The sequence below is a fragment of the Homo sapiens genome, chromosome 3 (genome assembly GCF_000001405.40).
Source record: "Homo sapiens chromosome 3, GRCh38.p14 Primary Assembly".
Lineage (NCBI taxonomy): Eukaryota > Metazoa > Chordata > Mammalia > Primates > Hominidae > Homo > Homo sapiens.
In genome coordinates this window covers 81,835,848-81,849,646 of record NC_000003.12, presented here as the reverse complement: position 1 = coordinate 81,849,646, position 13,799 = coordinate 81,835,848, and the positions used below count along the sequence as shown (strand labels likewise).

The 13,799-nt window shown below is 34.5% G+C and overlaps 1 long non-coding RNA gene across 7 annotated transcripts in view; it reads right to left on the bottom strand.

Moving 5' to 3' along the window:
* The window catches only part of LOC105377178 (uncharacterized), a 51,481-nt gene that overhangs the window by 26,128 nt on the left and 11,554 nt on the right, over positions 1 to 13,799 (bottom strand). For 5 of the 7 annotated variants that reach the window (NR_188679.1, NR_188675.1, NR_188678.1 and 2 more), the window contains exon 1: positions 8,738 to 9,100. This is a non-coding gene — a long non-coding RNA (uncharacterized LOC105377178). Of the gene's footprint in view, positions 1 to 8,737; positions 9,101 to 13,799 lie in introns of those variants that run through there. The other 2 variants (NR_188680.1, NR_188681.1) reach the window with 2 other exon arrangements.

Below are 13,799 nucleotides of genomic sequence, written 5' to 3'. Positions count from 1 at the left end.
AAGAATGTGAGATTTTCTTTATCAGAACTTAGACATTTGTGCACAAGATATTCTAGTTTTACTAAATCCGTGGCTAAGAAAAGTGCTCTGCTATAAAAATGGATGGGAAATTTTACACATTCAGCTTAGAACAGAATTTTCAAAGATAAATTATCTTAGAGACAGTAATTCATCAGTTCTCTGCTCTGATGAATTACTCTACCTGCAGATATAGTAATTAATCTTATTTTTATAAATCTCATAGGTGTAGAATTCTTTATATTTTTATTAAAAATACATAAGGTAATCAAATCTAATATTAATAACTGAAATCTACTTATTTGATTGCGACTTTCTGCCCCTCCGAAAGTTCACATGGTAGTAAAAAATGTACATGACTATGAAATTTAAATTATAAACCTATAATCTCCTGAGTTACTAACAAGTATAGTGACTTAACTATGTCACAGATCCATATTTTAAATTCTATTATTTTATCAAAGTAATAAACTGAAACACTGTCAATAATGTAAGAAAGCCTAGTTAAGATAGTCCGTTGAATGTATGAGAAGACTCATGGATCCAAACCAGCCTTAGATGAACTGTGGAGTCCAGAGGTCTGTTGCTCTCTGGTTTCCCATATCTCTACGTGTTCTTCCCTGCTAAGAAATTCTCCCCTCCTGCGTGATTTGTATTCTTTCCCTTCGGAGGCAAATATAATTGAAGAAGGAGCAAAAAATGAGTTAGGCTAGTACTACGGATATCAAATTGAGTAGTTTGGGTTTATCTTGTAGTCCAATGGGTTTTTAACTATAGTATCTTGATACACGATTATACCAATAATTTGTTAATAATAGCAGTCAGTAAAAATTTGATTACTGTTTCTAATAAATGAGTTCTAGTCTTACATGCCTTTCAGTTTCTTGCATTTCAGTATGCTTTTTTGAGTGAGTAGGAAGAAAAAAGTGGAGTAAATAGCTAATGACACTAAAGCTATGTATGTCCACGCTGTTTGTCCTTTGTATGAATACCAGCTATCTTGCATGTTAAGGCAGAAGAAAAATTGTAGAGAAACACTCCTTTAGGAAATGGGAGTCTAACAATTTATTTTAAACAACGACAACAAATGTTAACTGATTTGCATTTAAAAATAATCTGTCAGTATAATGAAGGGTTCATTAGAGGAGAGCAACATTGAAGTAAGGGAAGTTAGGAAAAAAGAAGGTATTGTCAAAACCTAGTTGAAAGATGAAGGTTTGATCTAGACAGTGTGAATAGAAACTGAGAGATTCAAAACTGATTCATCTGTCAGTCATTTTTCTAAGCACTGGATCAATCCTGCAAATAACTTCAAAAAAGAGAAAATAATACAAGTTTCACAAATAGCTATTTGCACAGATTTTATTTACTAACTGAAGGTTGCTCAGAACCACTTTTTTGAAACTGTTCTTTGTAGCTCAAACCTTATCTGTCTCTTCGCTACCACTACAGTAATGTGCTATTTTGTCCTAGTCTTTGCTTTCTAAAATGGAGGACAGAAACTCAGTTTTCTAATGGGCCAAGGCAGCTAATTAGGAGAATTGAAGCGCTATTGCCCAAATTGATTTCAGAAAACAAAATCCACTCAAGTCATCAAAAAATCTGCTTTTGACAAATCATGGCAAAGAGATTTTACCTAACTTGAGTTCACAACCCAAACAGCATGGCGGAACTAATAAATATTTAGATTTCCTTGAATAGATATTTCCTTCTTATTAATGTCTCCATTGAAGACTCAGACAAGGAAATAGAAACACTGAGTCTTTTTTTAGGTGACACATCTAATCAACCTTTCAAATAATGATTGTACATCTGCTTGAACCATTAGAATATACCTGCCAAGTTTTCATTTCTGATGAAAACTTTTGTCTAACATTCTTAATAAATTTCATAAATCACAGTTAATATTTATCCATGCTTTGATTTATCTTTAAATTATTGGTATGACATTAAATAACAGTTTGGCTTTACAGGTACAATTATAAATAGACTAATTCTTGCTTCAATATCTTTGAAGATATGGCTGAAGGCCTTGGTGAATTTTTTATTCAACTACGATCCCCTTCAGTTTGAAATTTGTATTTTTACTTATAACAATGTTTGTGTTCAATGGTGATTACTTTGATTAGCTAGCAAAATGACAGATATGTCCCATTTTAACCAGCTGCTTCTTAGCTGCAGTTTCTTTGAAAAAACAATTGGTTTTAGGCTTATTATTGCCTTTAATAAGCACAATTCAAAGGTAAACTGAAGACAAAACTAATTTTTTTTACCCACTTTTTCTTATTGTGTCTATTGCAGGTAGTTTTCCAATACTGTATGAAACATTTGAAGGTTTCATGATCCTTTTGTTGGTTTTAGGTAATTGAAGTTTCCTCATTCCATTCCTGTCACAAGCATAGTCTTGTTTCAGAAATGACACTGTTCGGTCCACAGTAATCAAAAATACAACCTTGAACTTTTCCCCTCTTCAATCAGAGCCTGACTGTAGTGTAGCCATTGCAGTGGTAGAGGATGGAGGGAATGGGTCATTCTGTCTAACTCATCTCCTCCTCTACTCACCTGTTCATGTAAATTAAAAGGATTGGAGGCCAAAGGCAGACAGGGAGCTTTCACTTAGGCAGGTATTATCACAAGATGGTATTATAGGAACTTGGCCTGGCAGATGTTCAAAGCTTTTTCAGACCTTGGAAGCTAACCTTCCCTGGCTACAACATCTGTGACTGCTTGTTCAGTACCTTTCCTTCAGATGTCTACTTCTCCCTTAGTTCTAACTTCCACAGTGTCGTCTTCAACACAGACTAGCAGTTAGAGTACTATTGCCTATCCTGGAAGTCCCGCCAAGCATGATTGCTAGAATGTGCTCCCACTCTTGTCATCTACATCTGGTGTACAGGAAATGCAAATGAGCTTTTGCTCTGTTACTAGTGGGAATGTGATTATTATACAAACAGACTCTTCTTTCTTTTGAACATGCTACCTCAGAAGTCATGGCCTTCCCCTGAAGAATGTCAGGACATGTGTCAGACATTAGGTCAGTTCCCTAAATTCCGGAGCCATTTCTCAAGCTTTCCAAATACTCCCAATGAAGCTCCTCTTTCTAAGTTTCAGGTTGAGGAGGATGGATTCCCAGTCCTCACCTTTGAGAGGGGTGGTGAGATTTAGAGCCTAGCACCAGCTCCTTTCAAGGAAATCTCTCGCAAATATATTTTTACTTTACTTTCTTACTCAGTCCTTTTATCATCGGAATTAGAGCCTTCTAGCCAGTTATTTTTCTCAGAGGATTTGTTTTTCGACCTGGCATCTCACTTCAGGACTTTGTATCTGTGGAAATATGGTGCCTCACTCTAAACTTCCAATGACTGTACATCTACTTGAACCATTAGAATATACCTGCCAAGTTTTCATTTCTGATGAAAACTTTTGTCTAACATTCTTAATACATTGCATAAATCACAGTTAATATTTATCCATGCTTTGATTTATCTTTAAATTATGGGTATGACATTAAATAACAGTTTGGCCTTAACATGCTGTTACAATAACGTTGGTCATTTTAATAATAAATCATGCCAGTTAAGTTTCTAAGTAACAAATGAAAATTAAGATCTTCTCATTACACACACAAAAAGTGTTTGCCTCCAAATTTTACATGTACTATAAGTCCTTTTGCAGAGAAATGAGTGCACATTTGCAAGCATGCAGTTTTACTCTGACTTAAGAAAGATGTGTCTTTTGTTCTCTGCTTCCTCTTCTTCCAAACCAACTAGGAATCAATATGCAGATGCTAGATTTACAGACTCTCTTAGGATGACAGATCAATAAAGAACCCCATTGAAAAATGCTTGCCTGGAGGAGGAGAATATAAACTTTTTCCTTAATCTCAGTAAGGCTTTGCTCCCAGGACCAGGCACTTCTTGTTCAGTGTTAATAGTACTGAGTTTTCTTACTGCTTTTTCATGTGAAAGGCACTCTTCAAATATGTACTTAATTAAGCCTCTCTTTTAACAGAGGTGGCCCGGTTCTCATCCCCCAGCCTCTCATTCCTATCTCCTGTGTGGAGATTTGCCTTTGAAGTCATGCAGGAGAGATGTGCAGGCATGAAGGAGATGAGAACAGAGCCAAGGGCGCTGGTAACGAACTTTTGATGGAAAAGAAGTTTTGATTAATTCAGCTATTCTAGCTACCCTCTATTTAGAATTCTTATAAGAGGAAATACTAAATTACAGAAAGATAATGAGTCCGATTTTATGTTAGCTCTGAAAGTCCTGCCCTCCAAATGCATTTGCGAACATCCCGTGGATTCCTAAAGATTTAGAACCCTGCAAATTTCCAATTTTATAGGACTTATTTATTTTGTATTATGCCTGGACTCTTTATGTTTCTCTCTTATAATTGCCTTGAAGTTCACAGCTGGAACTTGACTTATTAAAAGGCACCTATTTGTCTGAATTCCTCTCCTTGAATTGATTCTTGGAAGGAAGTCCATGATCATTTGTAGCTATGCATATTATCCATAACTACAATTTTGGAAATAGATGTTGATCATTTGAGAAAGTGTTTTCTAACTGCTCACAATACAGAGGCAATTTCAACAGTAGGATTGAATCTGATGTTACTATACAGTGGCTGCCAAATAATTCATTTTAATTTCTTATCTCTGGTTATCTCAGTCATCTCCCAGAAAATTATTTTCTTAGATTGCTTATTTAAAGGTTTACAGAAAAGATGCAGCAAATGTATACAACATAAGTAACTTGATGCTTGATGGTCGCAAGTTTCATAATTATAGTAACTTTTTCTTCATTGTATTCTTGTTCAGACATGCTGAATCTTTTTTTGGGACATTACATTTCATAGATTGGCTCATGTTGTGTTATTGCAAATATCATTTTGATATTTTCATGCACTGCAGACAGGATATAGAGGTAAAGTAAGTGCCATATTGCATACTTGATTTCCAATTTACCTGAACCTATTAAAATAACTCTTGAGAGTCATTGTTTTAATCCTTATATTGTTTTCCAGGTCACAGATACTCTACTCAGCAGTGAAATTGTCCTTACTAGCTTCTACAAGATACTGATTACATTTCTTGTGATGTTTTAATAGGTTTATCCTCAGAAGAGCTAAAGTTCAGGTTTTTGGAAATTTTTACAGAGTAACAGTGTATGTATTTCCAGTATTTTTTCAGTGATTCCTAATAAGCATGGCTCAAGAGGAACTTCCGATTTTCCTCCTTCTGCTAAGTTACTGTCTATATTATTTAATTATATTTATATCTATTAGATGATACATCAAAACAACAGACCTCTTCAACTTTTTATTGTTCAATCATTCCAGCCTCTTTCTTGGACTCAATTAAAAGTAAAGTCACGACAATTCATGAAATTTTACTAGTCAAAGCCAATTACTTCCTAATGGTACCTGCCAAGCACAACATTACAGTTAATGGGGCCTACATTTTCCCACTGAAAATAGTATAAGTAAAATAAACTATTATAATAAACAAGATCCCTTGTTTGAATCAATTTTAGATGATAACCCTTTTCCAGCAGTTAGGAAACTGGCATACCTCATTCACATAGCATCTAATACTAAACCAAGTGAAGACAGAGGGCTGAATATTTCAGTTTTTGCTCTCTATAGAAATATCAATTCCCTTGATTCTTATTTCATATCACTAGCATGTTATTTGTTATTAGATGATCATTAGGTAAATAGCATATATGTGGCAACCAAAAATGAACGTAAAGATTTCTAAGGACTTGACTACATTGCCAGAGGTCTCTCTGCCTAAAACACTCTTCCCTTAGCTTTCCAATGTCTGCTCTCTCTTTGTTATTCAGGATGTGGCTCCGTATGACTTTCTCAGAGAGGAAATTTGGGGGCACACTTTCTAAGATTGTTTCTCTCCATTGAGTCGCTCTCTAATTTATCATCCTGCTATTATTTTCTTTATATTATTTATCAATACCTAAATATTTCTTATTTATTGACTTGTTTGTTTACTTGTACGTGCTCTTCTCTATGCCAACTGAAAGACAAGTTCTACCAGGGAAGAAAACTTGTCTCTTTGATTCATTGCTGAATCTCTGGTTAACAGAATAATGCCTAACTCATGATAAACTCAATAAGTAAATACATGTTCATTCATTCCTCTATCACCCATCTGTTGAATGAATGCATATATTATTAACTGAACTTCATACCTCTCTGCTTAAAGTCAGGCAGATGATAACTCATACAACTGCCCAAAGCAAAATAGAACTGATGGATAATGTCAAGGTTGAGAAGACCATCAACCATCTGGAGCTTCTAGGACAAATGAAGTAAAGGCCATGAAAAGTACCAAGTCTTTCTTTGGCTTTTACCTTTTAGTATCACTGTTGGAGAGCAGCACTCAGTTGGACATCTGCACTGTGTAATGTTGGAACTCTCAGTATCTTACAAGATGGAATCTGTTTATATACATCTGATTATTGTTAAATAACCTAAACATTTTCACCTCAACATAGGCTGAAATTCTATTCAGTAGTCACTACAAACTAAATATTGTTTTCATATGAACACTGCTTAAATGAACATATCACCTTTAATATGATGCACTAATCAACAGATAAAAGTAAATCTGTTTTTATTTTGGACGGAAAAGTGCCAGCATGTAAAATAATGAGTTTGATTTCATCCTGGACTAAGATGAGTTAAAACTTTTGCTGGGTCCAACTGATTAGTTAAGATGAAGACTAAGCCGCTATAATAAAACTGTCCAAAGTATAGAGGTTAAAAAATATAACTCTAATTCTTTCTTGTGTCACAGATGTAAGTAGCAGTCCAGGTAAGCAGACAGCTCTGCCCCATGAGGTCATTCAGAGATTCAAGTTCCTTACATTGTGATTCTGCCATCAACAAGGCTGTTGTTCTCATCCGTATGGCCGTAGCTAAGTCCCAGAAATGGCCATGTTGCAGCTCACAGGAAAGGGAAAGTATAAAAACACTTGCTTGACTAATATTTTTAAGACCTATAGCTGGAAGTGTCATTTTCACTTTTAGTCGCATTCCATTAGTGAAAATGTAGCCAAAGGACCACATCTAGCTGGAAGAGAGTCTGAGAAATGTCTCTAGCTAGGCAGCTACATGCCCAACAACAAATTTACTATGAAAGAATAGGAGAAAATATTTTGTTGGACATTTTTCTATTTCTACCCTCAGGCAAGGAGAGCATGAGGATGTTGGTTCCATTGAACTGAATGTTTGTATCCCTACAGAATTCACCCTAATCCCATGTGATGGTATATGGAGGTGGAGCCTTGGGGAGGTAATTAAGTCATGAGGATGGAGCCCTCATGAATGAGATTAGATTAGGTCCCTTATGAAAGAGACCCTAGAGAGTGCTCTTCACTCTTTACAACATGTGAGAATACAACAAGAAGTCATCAGTCTACAATTGAGAAGAGAGCACTCACCAGAACCTGACCATGCTGAGACCATGATATTGAACTATCACCTCCAGAACTGTGAGAAATAAATTTCTATTGTTTGTAAACCACCCAGTCTATAATATTTTACTATAGCAGCCTGAACTGATTAAGACAGTGGTCCGTGAAAACAGTATTAAGTAAGTGCTAGGGATATGATCAAAGAAGAAAAAAAAAATCAAGAAGAAGATTTTAGAAACAATACATTGCAGATACCAATTTTATATTTAGTTTTTATGAATATTGACATGGTAACTTATGCAGTAGAAAACCTTTCTTATAAATAGATCAGAGAATCGAATTGAGAATCCCTGCCACAATGTCATGTACAAAAGCACTTTTGTTTGTTCTATATAAAAGAGGTGTAAGGCAAGCCATACTAGGGCAAAAAGCCAACTCCCATATGTGAAGTGTGTTCCTTAATAAATATCATGTCATGAACTGTCATATTTTAAGTCTGCTTCTAAATATAACTTCCTGTTACTCTACGAGTTCAGTGACTCTTGATCTTGTCAAAAATGTAGCTGCCTAGTATTTTCTGATTTTTTGTGACCCTCTATCTCTTTTCATATGAGTGGAATATACATGATACTTTAGTAAAATAAAAATTTTAGTGAGTTTAATTTCTAGGTGGTATGTATTTTAAATTTGATGCCATTAGTTGAAACCATTAGGAAGTACTACATTATGATTCATGTATTTCTTCTAAAAATATTTGCTAGCTTACCATTTGTAAGCACTGTGCTGGGTACAGAGAATTTAAAAATAAATGACAGGAAACCTGCTTTTAGGAAAATAAAAATCATGGTCTTTTATAATGGGGAAAAGTTTAGTGAGGTCAAAAACACGGTCTTTTTCAATTGGGGAAGCAATGTTTACATGAACCTATATGCCAACTGAAGGAAAGAGAAATTTACTAAAAAAATTTTTAGCTAACTTTATTTTTTAAATTAAATAGATAATCTCTGTATAGTAATCCCAAATATATCTTATTTAAAGATCCTAAAATTAGATTTTTTGTCATCAATTATTTTTATTATTTTTTAGATAAGAATATATTTTAAAGCATATATAGCATTTCAGTTTCTATATGATAAGTAATAAGTTTAAAACTGTACGTGGTAAGCACGCAAGCTATTATCAGTACACTAACTAGAATGCTCCTATATGGCAGATGAATGAAGCATAAAGCAGAGAGTAAAAGTACACTAAAAGTTTATGATTTCATTGTGAAAACTTACAATTCTCCATACTGGGGAATATAGTCAGTCACAGCAGGGAAGTTCATTTTGAAGTTTAAAAAGTCAATCCTCTTATCTTCTTAACTTGAAAATAATTCTAGTGGCAATTAAACTCAACGAAAAGAAAAAATAAAGAAGAATCAATTTCTAGGAGTACCATAAACAACATCATCTTTAACCTCTGAACTTTCGATAGGAGTCCATTTTAAACATTTATAGCATATTTTGGTGATCATTGTATTTTTAAATATCTGGAGAGATACTGCTACAGACCTTCATTTAAGGATTTTCTGGCTTAAAACCTTCCATATTTCTATGGACATATTTGTATCTCTCTTCCCACTCAGTGTCTTAATTCTAGATACTCCTGATAGGATAGTTTTAGATTAAGTACCAAAACACCACACCCAAATGCACTATGACATCATAGGTTAATTCAGGAACACATAACTAATATTCTTACCAGTGTCAAAATTCTCTCTAAAGAAGGATAAGAGTATAAACTTGTCCCATTTTCTTCCAAAATATTTGTTGAGAGTAAAAATAATTTTTAGCCATATATTGCTGAAATTGCAAAAGAACCCTGAGTGATGTGGAGAATAAAGATTATTTCTTTGTTCTCCAGGAACTCTGCACTTAACTCCAAATACATAGGGTTTCCCAACCAAATTGAGTACTTAGCTTCCCCTGAATGCCTGCATCATCTTTTTTGGACTGTCAACTTAACCACATATTAAAGATGCTCTAGTTAGAGGGACAAACTTGGTTGTCCTGGGTAAATTGTGGAAGAACAGCCTAATGAGATTTTTGTTAACAGAGTAGCGACGAAGGCTTCAAGATTCCCCTTGAGCTTTTTCTATGAGAAGTGACTACCTCAATACAAAATCACATGTAACAGGATACTTATATTAAGGGGGAAACACTGCAGCCGACTCAGCCATATAAATGTGTAGGAATCCTCCTTTGTCCCTAAGACTATCAGCATAAACAACTGGTAGTTTACAGACTACACAATCTATTTCCACTTGGGAAAAATTCCCCTGGCTATTTTTAGATGCCATCTTACATAAGGTACTAAAAATTTGTACCCTATTAAATAAGTTAACACACCTACCAAAATGCTTTTTTATTTCCGTAGAGGAAATTAAATCTCCTGCAGTTTGTGACTAAGAGTCTCATGCTTCACAAAGTATCATTATCTTTTCCTACATCTAAGTATTTTTTTCTTATCCCTACTCCTTCCCCTCCCCCATGAGTTAAGACTAGAAACTTAAAACACTATTTTTATTCTGCCCTTCATCTTAGAAGACAGTTTCTTTGCACTAAGCTGATACTTAAAAGTTTTCAAATATTTTCTGGTTGGTGTGCTGGATGATTAGTCCATTGAAATGTGTTTCCACAGCCCTCGTTTGTAGTTCTCTATTGCTACGCATCTTTTTTAATGTTTGTCTGAATTGAACTATATTTGCCATCTGCTGTTTCAGGCTCTCAAATGATCTGAAACCTTTGAATTTTGTTAAGTCATTCCTCATTATTGCTTTTTTAGTGGTATCTATAAAGTCTATCTCTTCCCCTCCTATTTCCTTATGTCTATCATTTACATACTCCAGAGTCACTGAGGTACTAAGACACCAAACAACCAGTTTCAAATGTAAAATCCTCAGCTAGAGTATAGCTGATCTTCTATTCTGAAGTAAACTTTATCACTTTGCTTCTATTCCATGCTTTTTAAAAAGTTTATTCACTTAGCACTGACATGAAAACCATCGATGACACTTTGGTAGTTTTACTGTATTGGATCCTTTTAATTTGTTTTAGCTGTTGTTTAACAAGTCCTTTTCTCCCACAGTATAAAAGTTATACTTTCCATGTCTTTTCTTTTAAGGCTTTAGGTTTCCCTACCTTATTTTTTTTAATTACTTCAATATTTTTTAGAAATGAAGTGTTCAAAATATAATAATGGGCATAATACTGCTCTGAAAAGATCCCCAAAGTTTTATCTAATCACATTATTATCATTTGACTCTGACTCAAAATGCAAGATCTTATGATTTAAGCTAGGCACAGATATGGATGAGGCTCATCAGATGGACCTCCTTTTAGCCTAAAGAACTTTGAACTTAAAAATATAAGTTATCTAACCTTTAAATAAGCAACATTGAATAGCAAGACGGGAACATAATAACTGCAAGAGATACTTCTGTGCAAAGAAAAGGGGAACTGGGAATCACAGTCATGAGTTCATAGCAATTCCAAAACAGCAGGCAGGCAAACAAAGGAGGAAGGAAAAAGAAAAGAGAAAAGGACAAAGAAAATAAAACAAAATACAGCTGGGAACATGTTTTGGTTTCCCCAAATCCATCAGAAGCAAAAACTGTTTCTTGATTAGACACTAATTCTGCTCTCTAGGAGTAATTCCTTAATCCATTGTTCTCAGCTCTGGAGTCTTAGCACCTCCTTCTGAGATATCTTTCCTTTTCCTTAAAAAATGACCCATCTTTTCATTTGAGAAACTACGTCAACCTGCTTCCTGCTTCTGTAAAGTTGGGGCCCAAAACCTTCTTTTTAACTTGAACTGTCTCTGTCCTTTTGGGTTCAACTACATGGTATGTTTTGTAGTAAAGTTCCCTTTAAAACTTTGTGAGTTTTCTATAAATATTATTGATGCTCACTCCTTGCTCCAAAGTCTCATGGTTTAGTTTCTGTTTTGGTAGCATCCAGGTTCAGGTACTGATTTCTTATCACTCAATATTCAATAAGAGAAGTGAAACCTTTATAGAGATGGAATAAGGGAGTTATCATGGGAATCAGACTTCACACATTTGTGAGAAAAGCGAAGGTAGTGGAGATCCAAAAGGGAAAGTTGGATAATCAGAAGAACTGTAATCACCCAAGGGGTTCATCTTGCCTTCTGCCTAGACAAAGCCAATTCATCAGGATAGGTGAATTGCAATAGAGAAAGAGTAATTCACTCAGAGCAGGCTGTGCGGGAGACTAGAGTTTTATTATACCTCATCTTGGACAGGAATCAGAACTGGCAGTGGCATGTTAATACAGAGATACCAACCTCAGACATATGATGACATTGACACTGGCCCCAAAATGATATTCATCATCATCCTCACTAGCAACAGGAAATAATATTTCAAGTGTTTTTTAATGTGCAACAGACCATTTAAAAGCAAAGAGAGACTTATGAAATAGTGAAATGCTTGTCTAGCCAAGAAAAAAATCCACTGTGCTGAGCTGTATTTGTCTTTATAGAAAGAGAACACTATTATTCTCTGAAACAGCTGCCCAGGTGTTTGATTATTAGAGGCTTTAAACAGCAACCCGCTGACACTATTAAAAGCATAGTCAGAACAGACTGACGGCGATTCTATGTGAAATGAGAGGCGGTGCTTCCGTGACTGTTCAACATGAAGAAAGATGAAGGATTAAAATATTTTGACTGCTTTGAGAGGTATCTCTACCCTTTGCTCACACTTATTATTTGTAATGTGTGGAGAAGTAGCGTTATTCAAACACAAGGGAGTTTGTTGCTATGAATCTCATAGGAATATCCTGAGGAAATCTCAGGCAGAATACACATTTAAGCAATTTTTAAAACTAGTATGTTTACATTTTATAAATGACTCATCATATTCTATTGTGTAAATACATATTTAGACCAGTAAAACTCTTTATAAAACTATGAATTAAAGCCAAATATAAGTATTGGAGTTAATCTTTTCTGCCTGCTTTAAGCACCATTTTGAATGAGTGAGGTGAAATTGGACATTGTATGTGTATAATGATGAAAAATGGTGGGCTACAATGAGGAATAATTCTTTTGATTTCCAAAGCATAATGGCCTATGAATTATGTTTAAAATTAATGAAAGAGAAGATAGAGAATAATTTGAATCTCATCAGTAACTATTTTTCTCTCTTTCTGAGACAGCAATGAGCCATTTTCTAAGGGATTTGAACCTTTGTGAGCAAGTTCCTCTAAGCTTCTAAAAGGTCTTAATTTGAAGCTGAACCTTTTTAATGATGATTTGTTTCGCTTGAAAGAACAAACAAATAAGCAGTTGGACTTCCTGAGAGGTTTTCATTGTATGAAGACAATTTCTTTGCAAGTCAAAGTAAGTTTTTAACATTTGGGAGGACATGTACATTCCAGCATATCTTCTTGCCATGAAAGATTCTTCTTCTTTCAACTTTACAAACAACCATGAAAGGAGAGGTTATTTTCCCATGGAAAGCAAATTGTGTTTAAAATGAAAAAAAAATGGTGATTTGGAAAAATTTCCTTATTTCTAATTGCATTCTTTGATATTACATAAAGAAAACCAATTTCATGCAATGCGATTAAATTAAATTTTGAACTACTGCTTTACACTATAGATTGACTTGTTTAGTCTTCTATTGGAACAGCTTTTTTTTGTTTTTGTTCAGCAAAAGACACTTTTCAAGAAGACATATCTCCCAGTGGTGGTGGAAAATTATTATTATTAGTTGTATCAGACATACCACTATATGAAATGCAAAATTTTTACAACATGCTTGAAAAAAAAAGTTCCCTCTCTCAGAGGTTCTGATGCAAATGTCCAAACTCTATGCTTCAGCATCAGGAGGCCCTCAGTTCTTGTTTCTCAAAGGTACCCCCCACATTCTTGGTCCTACATTTCACTTCAAGAGCAAACCAGCTCCCAAACAATTTAATTTCTTTCCCTAAATCTCAACTCCATTAAGTATTCTCTATATATCAAGAGTGGCTTCTCCTAGTCTCGAATTTCCCAAAATGTAGTACATGAACCACTGATTGTATAGAAGTCAATTTTCAGTGACATACAATATTCTCTAATTTGTTATTAGTAGTTTTCTATTTATTTTATAGTTATCTTCTATTTATGATTTTTCTATTTATAATAGTAATACATAGGTTAAGTAAATCCAAAGAAAAGAATCAAGTCAAAATATTAATTAAAATATGGCAATATTTATGAAGAAGTATATAGAGAATACTGCTCAAATAAAACATATATGCTATTTCGCTTCTCATTCTTGACATTTGACAT